This window comes from Homo sapiens, chromosome 12 (assembly GCF_000001405.40).
Source record: "Homo sapiens chromosome 12, GRCh38.p14 Primary Assembly".
NCBI lineage: Eukaryota > Metazoa > Chordata > Mammalia > Primates > Hominidae > Homo > Homo sapiens.
In genome coordinates this window covers 68,246,601-68,256,126 of record NC_000012.12, presented here as the reverse complement: position 1 = coordinate 68,256,126, position 9,526 = coordinate 68,246,601, and the positions used below count along the sequence as shown (strand labels likewise).

The window sequence follows — 9,526 nt, the reverse complement described above, 5'->3', positions numbered from 1 at the left end:
ACAAAAGCCTATTTAATCGATGAATAGCTTAAATCTAGTGCTAATAGAATTATACGGAGTTCTGGGCAAAAATGGCCATATATAATAGGAAACTGAATAAGGAAGAGTTTCATCATCTTTTCTTGGGCCCATGGTCAACCCCAAGGAAACATTTGGAACACACCTATTTTTTTTCAATTCAGAAAAAAAATCTTATTTTTATTTGACAAATAAAAATTATATATACAGTATTTATGTTACACAATATGATGTTTTAAAAATTACTTATTTTTTAAATTGATGCATTATAATTGTACATATCTATGGAGTATAATTTGATGTTTTGATATAAGTGTATGCTGTATGATACAATTAGGTTAGTTAGTGTATCCATCACCTCATGCATTTATCATTACTTTGTGGTGAGAATCTTCAAAAGCCTCTCTTCTAGCTATTTTGTAAAATACAATATTTTCCTGTTAAATACAGTCATTCTACTGTGTAATAGAACACCGAAATTATTCCTTCTAATTGTATCGTTGTACCCGTTGACCAACCTCTCCCCATCCTCCTTTCCCCACTTACTCCCCCAGTCTCTGGTAAACCACTGTTATATTCTCTGCTTCTATATCAACTTTATTATTATCATTATTATTTTTTAGATTCCACATATCAGTGAGATCATGCAGTATTTGTTTTTCCGCATCTGATTTATTTCACTTAACATGGTGTCCTTCAGGTTCATTCACGTTATTGCAAATGACAGGATTACATTTCTTTTATGGCTGAATAGTATTCCATTGTGTATATATACCACATTTTCTTTATCCATTCATCCATCCATCTGTGGATACTTAGGTTGATTTCATATATGTTTTGATATACGCATGCATTGTGGAATGGCTAAATTGAGTGAATTAACATATATGCATTACCTCACATACTTGAAATTTTTTTTTGTAATGAGAACATTTACAATCTATGCTCTTTGTGATTTTTAAGCATACGATATATTGTTCTTAACTATCATCACCATGATGGACAATAGAGCTCTTCAACTTATTCCTCTTCTTTAACTGAAATGTTGTATCCTTTGGGTAACATCTCCCCATCTCGCTGCCCCTTGCCCACCCAGCCCCTGGCAACCACCATTCTACTCTTTCCTTCTATGAGTTCAAGTGTTTTAGATTCCACATGCAAGTGTGATCATGTGGTGTTTTTTACTCTCACTAATCTTCATTTTTGCTTCTTTCTCCTCTGGCCACCTTCACAAATGCTCAGTGTCCTCATGTGGTTCCGACCCTTTGCAGTGGCACCTTGCTTAGGTCTGTGCCATCTCAAAAAGTGGTCTAGGTTTTACAATTATTTACATCCCTACTTCCAGTTCTTCAACACTCCTGATCTTAACTAGTTGTGAGGAGAAAAATCTGATTATACAAATTTGCACTAATTCACATTCCTTCCCTCAGCAATAGGTATTTGCATTTTGATACTTGCATTTGCTTCCTTGCTCTGCGGGAGAATTTCCAGTCTAGTTTTAGGTGTATTTTTAAATAATTTGAAGGTAACGCGGAACCTCTATATTCCTATATTCCCTTCTTCAGACATCCATGTGTGTGTGTGTATATATGTATATATATAAAATGTTGCATATATATGTATATATATAGTATACACACATATATAATATATATACACACACATATATAGTTGTTATAGGATTATTTGGAAATATTATGTTGAGACTTGTGTGAAGTGTAGAATTAGGTAAAATTTTAAGATGAACTATATCCATGGTATTCTTTTATTTTAAAAAAAGTTTACATGTTAAGAAAAAAGGAGATCAGATTTTCAGCATTAGTATTTACAAACTTAAGTTGATATTGATTATAATTCAATTAATACAATTTTAAGATATATTTACTTCTGCCTTAATTGTTATGATCACTTAAAAATAGTTCCAAAAAGGGAAGAAAACAATAATTAGATTAGCCAAGACAGTTATTTTTGAAACATAAGTCTGGTTTAGAATTCAGCATGTTTAAAAATGAGATAAAATTATTTTAATAATGGAATGATCTGTTAGCTGTCATTACCATTTACTTTAAAGCAGAGGATATAGGACATGGGTCCTTTTTTTCTGATCACCTCCAATGAGATAAGAATCTATAAAGCTGGTAGGAAAATGAGTCCGTGACCAAAATGCTTACTCAGCCACTATAGGAGATCAAAACATTTTATACTAAATCTGAACTCTACTAAGACAAAACAATTGTGTTCTTTGAAAAATATGTAGGGTTTAGAAAATTTCTGGGATTTGTCTGTAAAATACCCTCCGGGCTCTAATAGTGACGTTTTAGGGAAACACTTGCATCTCAAGGTGGAAAGGATAGAGGTGGTGTTTTGTGGGCTCCTGTGGTGGTTAGGTCGTTCTCAGAAGACAGTACTGGAAATTAGATAATTGCTGATGTCATATTTTTCACAATTAAAAAAAAGTCAGTATCCTGGGGGCTATAAAAGCAGCAGCTTCTACCTTCCCCGTCACAAGCAGAATCTTCAGAACAGGTAAGCGTTTCGGCAAACTTGGTACAATTGGTTAGTTTGATGAAATACTTCTTGACTAATTTTGTTCCTTCACGTTGTCTTCGACCAGGTTCTCCTTCCCCAGTCACCAGTTGCTCGAGTTAGAATTGTCTGCAATGGCCGCCCTGCAGAAATCTGTGAGCTCTTTCCTTATGGGGACCCTGGCCACCAGCTGCCTCCTTCTCTTGGCCCTCTTGGTACAGGGAGGAGCAGCTGCGCCCATCAGCTCCCACTGCAGGCTTGACAAGTCCAACTTCCAGCAGCCCTATATCACCAACCGCACCTTCATGCTGGCTAAGGAGGTATACATCTCAATCCTGCTCTTTCTCGTTGGATCTACTTGGAATCCAAATAGTTCTTAAACTTTTCTTCAGAGCATCTCTAAGAGCTTTAGGAACCCACTGTTTATCCCTGAGGGTAGATAAATTTTCTGTTTTTTCAGAGACTCTTTGGGAATCTGGCTTTTTTTTTTTTCTTGAACTTCTTCCTTCCATTTTGGCCTTTATGATACATATGATGAATTTTTCCCAAAGAGCGGCCATTCAGTAATCCATCTGATGATTTTTTTTTTCCTTTATGCCTCTGTGCATTGTTCTAAACTCATGCACACATCTGAATTCTGCTTTTAGTCTTTATGATGTTGCTCTGGGGAGACGGGATGGGGCACATGTCTATGTATAAATTTTTTTTCTATTTGCTCAATGTCCAGACCCTTAGTCTTTTCTTCTCTTCCAGGCTAGCTTGGCTGATAACAACACAGACGTTCGTCTCATTGGGGAGAAACTGTTCCACGGAGTCAGTGTAAGCTACAGTTGTGACGAACAGGGCCGTGTGCCGTCCATGGGTACTTGGGGTGGTGGTGATGATGGTTTAGGTCTTATCCCTTATGACCCTTTCTGTTTCCCTTCCACCTGCAGATGAGTGAGCGCTGCTATCTGATGAAGCAGGTGCTGAACTTCACCCTTGAAGAAGTGCTGTTCCCTCAATCTGATAGGTTCCAGCCTTATATGCAGGAGGTGGTGCCCTTCCTGGCCAGGCTCAGCAACAGGCTAAGCACATGTGTAAGTTCAGCTCTCAGCCTATGCCCACCTACCCCTCCTTCCCTCCTTCCACAGAGACCCCCTTACCCCAACTCTCTCTCCTTCCCCCTACCCCTAAGCTAGCAGGAAGAAGTGTCTTGGCAGCAGTGTTATCAGGAGTCATTTGGGATCATAGAGTATTTGCTTTTGCTTTGACTGAGTCACATCTTGAGTTTATAGTGGTGAATGGGGTCTGGAACTTAAGTGTACAGAAGCCGCATTGGTTTGTCTTCGGAAAAAAGGCAACTCAGGTTGCGTAAGATGAGAAAGGTGTTGGGAAAAACATCTAGATGTGGAAATGGATCCATTGAGTCTAAGTTGTTGAGGGGAGGGGATGGCATGGAGAGAAATTAGAAGAGAAAGTGGGAAATGGGAAGGCTTAAAGTCGGTGGTGGGTCGGCAGACTGTTGCCCTGTTGATGTCATGGGAAGCCACAAAATCGGAGGCGTGTGAACTTGATGCCGCTGAACATTTGAAACTATGAAAAAAAGTTTGAGTGGAGTGGGCCCAGTAAAAGGCCCTAGGACTTACTGAAGAGGGCTTAATTTTCACATGAGATGTTTTATGTACATTTCTTGTTCTAAGCATGCAATTTTCTGGAGATACGATTGAGGTTTTATTCCTTACAGAATTTGCATAAACTACTCCGCTCTTTCCACAAATGCAAACCTCAGTAGGATTTCCCAAAGATGAAGAGAGGTCTCTTGTAAGGGAAGTGACTGGATTCTGGCGTCCAAGGGAATTCAAGAGCTCAGGAAATCTAGGTCACTGTTGAAATCTAGGTCATTGTGGGCAAAATTACTAAGAGCTTTAATTCCAGGTGAATTGTACTGTACCTCCATGGGTGTGGAGGTTCATAAAGTTTCAGCACAACATTAAGATAGTTATGCTTGTTATTGTTTTATAGCATATTGAAGGTGATGACCTGCATATCCAGAGGAATGTGCAAAAGCTGAAGGACACAGTGAAAAAGGTAGGACTGATAACTGTCAATGCTAAGTCATGCAATAGGAGAGACAAATGTTGTTTTTCTTTCCTTTCTTTCTTCCCATCACTTTGTGATTTTTCACTTGATTCTCCTACCACCAGGGCGATTACTTTGGTGTCTGTGTATGTAGATATATCTATATATCTAGATGTCAGTTTCCAAATCTTGCAAATTGTAGAATTCTAGAACTGGTTGGGATCTTAGCTTGTCTAGTCACATAACCTCAGATTCTGGGGATGGTCAGTGGCAGAGATAGGGCTAGAATGCAGGTCTCCTGAATCCCAAGCCAGCACTTTTCCCGGTGGTGATACAGATTAGTTTTGGTACCATTAATTCTTAGGGAAATTTCAGATTCCTATTGACTCATGTAATCTGAAGAAGTACTTGTTTAAAAACAGAAAAATGCCTATGGGCAAATTTATTTGAAGTCATTTTTGAAGTCATTAATGCATTGCTTTGAAACTTGGAAGAATAAACTCAGAACAATGAGAAAAGAGCTGGACTTGCATATAGGGCTAATTTCTGGAGTAATAAACACTTATTTTGAATTATCATAATATCTATCAGATATTGATTATAGTTTAAAAGCAAGAGCAGACAACCCCGATCTCTTTTATACAGGTTCAAATAGAGTAAAAATATTAGTAAGAGATTTATTAAAGTTAAATGGAAGTCTGAATTGGTAAGCTTTTTTTTCTTCCTCTCTCCCATCAAGACCTTCCATTCTAGTTTCTTCCTTCACTCCCTCAACAAATCCCTAGGGAGCATTTATCCATGGTGGGCTGGTGTACATTTCTATAGTGAATGATACCATCATGTGGCCTATTTGGTGAAAAGAACAACAATGGAAGGCTTAGACTAACAATAGTGACTCACCCCAAAACCGGAGGAATGATTAGGAGCAGTGAAAGTGACGCTCTTGCAAGCAGGTACAACTAAATACTCAGAAACATGAAGGCTCCAGTTGATGGAATTTTCAGTAACAAGCTTAACCTTAATTCCCCCTTTTTCCCTCTTGACTTTTTAAAAAAGCGTTTCTTCCTGAGCATCATTTAATGAGTGTGACTGTTTCTTCCTTTGATAATTGAAGGCTTTGTAGTTTTAAATTGTGAAGCCCAGTTCTCTTGTTATAGAACTATTATCTAGACATGGAGGGCTGAATGTTAGCATGCCACAGACAAGGCATGCTTTACACATCTTGCTTAAAAAATTACTGATTTCATCTTGCTTGTTGTCTTTAGAAAAGTGAAGTGTGAGAGAGGAGAATCTCATGGTGATCTGTGTGATTTTCAAGACCTTTAATCCATTTTGAAAGAATCAATTTCATATTTGCAATGGGTTGCCATGTGGAAGAGTGATTATGCTTTTTTGCTGGTAGCTTCAGAAAGCACAGGAGGGAGAGCAATGTTGTTCAGAGAAAGATCAACAGGAGGAGAAACTGTCAGAGCTGTCTGAAATAGGGTGGTTTTGGGAGGCATTAATTCCCTCTCGTTGGGGGTAAAAGCAGAACGCAGGTTGGTAGTAAAATGCATGACAGACAGTAGGGGACGATAAACTTTAAAATTCTTTATAGTCTTGGAGTCTTTGAGATAGAAAAGAATATCTTTTTGGCCTTATGTCAAAAGAAGTATGGAAAGGTGAAAGGGCGGAAGAAAGCAGGAAAAGGAAGAACCATGTATTATACAGAGGACAATGGTGACAAGGTTTTTCTTGAAATAATGCAAATATGATAGATTAGAGGAATTTCAGTAGGGAATGCTTTTCACTTGAATTTGGGTTTCCTCTTCGATTAAGTTTGGGATCCTCATCTGCATTTGACTTGGAGAGAGAAAGAATGAATGTTAGGACCTATATCTGGTTTTCTATTAACTAAAGCAAGTGGAAAAGACTTATTTGGTATTTTTCCCACAAAAGTGAAAACTTTTCTTTTACTGTTTGTCAAAAAGGTGGAAATAGAAAAAGCCTTAATGTATTGGTGAATACATGGTTCAAAGTCATTTGAGTAGAGATGTTTTAAATCAGGAGTGTCCAATCATTTGGCTTCCCTGGACCACCTTGAAAGAATTGTCTTGGTACACACATAAAATACAAGAACAATAGCTGATGAGCTAAAAAAGTCCATGCATAAATCTCATACTGTTTTAAGAAAGTTTATGAATTTCTGTTAGGGTGCATTCAAAGCTGTCCTGGGCCATGTGCGGCCTGTGGGCTGCAGGTTGGACAAGCTCCTTATAAGTAATCTGTCATAGATAGTTTTGGAGCTGCAAAACAGGCCAAGGCATAATGGGTGGCACTCGGGATCCCCCAGATCCCAGCCTCACTTCAGTCTCCTTGCTCTGGTTAAGAAGGGGTGGTCAACTCTCTGCCCAGCTTTTAAACAGCTTCATTAGTGTGAGGTGCACCTGAAATTGATGCCTGCTGGTGGCCTCTCAGTCCAGAGAGCCGTCATTTTAAGCTCTTTGGCAAATCATACAATACTAAAGGGATATTACTATGAATGTTTTACAAATGCTTAAAACTCGGTTTCTGTCTCCATCAACCTAATCTTGCAATTTCTAATTTGTTCACTTTAGAAAACATGGCATAAATGCTCAAATACTTTTGCATTCTTATTTTCACAGCTTGGAGAGAGTGGAGAGATCAAAGCAATTGGAGAACTGGATTTGCTGTTTATGTCTCTGAGAAATGCCTGCATTTGACCAGAGCAAAGCTGAAAAATGAATAACTAACCCCCTTTCCCTGCTAGAAATAACAATTAGATGCCCCAAAGCGATTTTTTTTAACCAAAAGGAAGATGGGAAGCCAAACTCCATCATGATGGGTGGATTCCAAATGAACCCCTGCGTTAGTTACAAAGGAAACCAATGCCACTTTTGTTTATAAGACCAGAAGGTAGACTTTCTAAGCATAGATATTTATTGATAACATTTCATTGTAACTGGTGTTCTATACACAGAAAACAATTTATTTTTTAAATAATTGTCTTTTTCCATAAAAAAGATTACTTTCCATTCCTTTAGGGGAAAAAACCCCTAAATAGCTTCATGTTTCCATAATCAGTACTTTATATTTATAAATGTATTTATTATTATTATAAGACTGCATTTTATTTATATCATTTTATTAATATGGATTTATTTATAGAAACATCATTCGATATTGCTACTTGAGTGTAAGGCTAATATTGATATTTATGACAATAATTATAGAGCTATAACATGTTTATTTGACCTCAATAAACACTTGGATATCCTAAGTCTTGTCGTTTTGTGATTTTTCTCCTTTAATGTCATCATCATCATCATCATTGTCATGTTACCATTCCCATAACTTTATTCTTGACTCTAAGAAAATGAGGTAGCTATTAGTATTATTCTAATTTTACAAATGAGAAAGCTGCATTAGAAACATGTTAAGAAACATTTTATAACTATAAATAGTTGACCCTTATTGAGCCAGGTCTATCTGATTTCAAGGCTCTCTGCTATAGTGCCTATACTGATTTATTATGTTGACTCAGCATGTACCTTTGAAAAGAAAAAAGTTGAGAAATTGAAAATAACTTATCATTAGTCATTTATGGATAAAAGAAAGGAATGATGTTGCTGGAGAGAAGTACATGTAGCCTCTATTGCTATAGATAAACTGTTTTAGTTCTAGTTCAGGCCTACTGAAAGGTGCACTCTCCAGTATCCCTGAAAGTAAGACACTAAAGGAAAAGGAAAGCTGTGTTTTGGGGAGTCATACCTACTAGTAAGTTTGGCACTGATAGGGAAGTCTCATAGGTGGAAGATGGGCAAGATATTATGAAACACACATAGAAAGGAAAAGGGGTTCATCTTCAAAATGTGTACAATGCTACAGAGAAGAGAGAGAAAGAGGTAGAGATAAAGGTTGGATTTGTTCTACCAAGAAGAATGGACAAAGGATGCCAGCAATGAAGAGCCATTCCTGGGGGAAGGGATTTGAAAGATTGTGTAGGTCTTTTCATATGAGGTCAAAGTCAATGATCAGAAGTCAGTCATGAACTGCTAAGGTATTTTCTTCTCCAAAAAATCAGGACCAACTTTGCAGGTCACTTGTCAGTTGTTGGCCAAGTTCCTGCAGGATTAGGTCCAGCCTGGTGGTGAGAGGGGAGCACATAGAAAAAATTCCCAGCAAGCCTTTGTCTTTTCCTGGCAGTCAGCCCCTCTTTTGCTACCTTGCCCGTTGCACTCTTGCAACATATTTTCATACTTTCTCTAGTAAATCTGCCTTTCTTTACCCACAACTGTCTTGGTAAATTCTTTTACCACCTGTGCCACCAGCCTCAGATAGTTGTCACTCACCCACAACATTTTGGTGGCCCATATGGGGAGCTCTCTCTCCTTATGGGGAACTCTCTCTGCATGGGGGCTGTCTCTCCTCATAGGGAACTCTCTTGCCTCTCTCTCTTTCCCAACTTGGAACCCTCAGTGGATAGCATCTAAGCACGGAGACAATTGTAGGTCTCTGGCCAGAGCTACACTCTGGTGGGCTGAAAGGTGTCCCCGTGGAAGCATCTGACTTCCATGCCCATTCAGGTGAGGCACCTAAGTTTATTTTCTCTTTTCAGTCTTTCAGCAGCCAGCTTCTAGTATCTCTCTGGCAATTGATGGTAACTGGCCAGGGCTGTTCTCCGGTGCTGCCTAAAGGTCAGAGGGTGAACAGAGTTATCTGCCTCTCCCATTAGGCAGGAAGGCTTTTTCCTCTCTTCTCTGGTCAGAAGTCCCTAATCCCTAAGTGTGGCATGACTGGTAGCGGAGGCTCATTCAGAGCGAATTCACACATGTTTTGGGTGCCTCAGACCCTCTCTTTCTCATTCTGAATTCCCCCATGGACTCAGCCAGCCATTCTGTTCTGATGTTGCTGAATAAGG

The 9,526-nt window shown here is 38.6% G+C and overlaps 1 protein-coding gene across 1 annotated transcript; it reads left to right on the top strand.

Annotated features, from left to right (window-relative positions):
- IL22 (interleukin 22) lies at nucleotides 2,523-7,885 on the top strand. Its single transcript, NM_020525.5, has 6 exons — nucleotides 2,523-2,544; nucleotides 2,633-2,864; nucleotides 3,298-3,363; nucleotides 3,480-3,623; nucleotides 4,549-4,614; nucleotides 7,251-7,885. Exons 2-6 carry the CDS (start codon nucleotides 2,679-2,681, stop codon nucleotides 7,326-7,328), a joined length of 540 nt encoding a protein of 179 aa, NP_065386.1. The 5' UTR covers nucleotides 2,523-2,544; nucleotides 2,633-2,678; the 3' UTR covers nucleotides 7,329-7,885.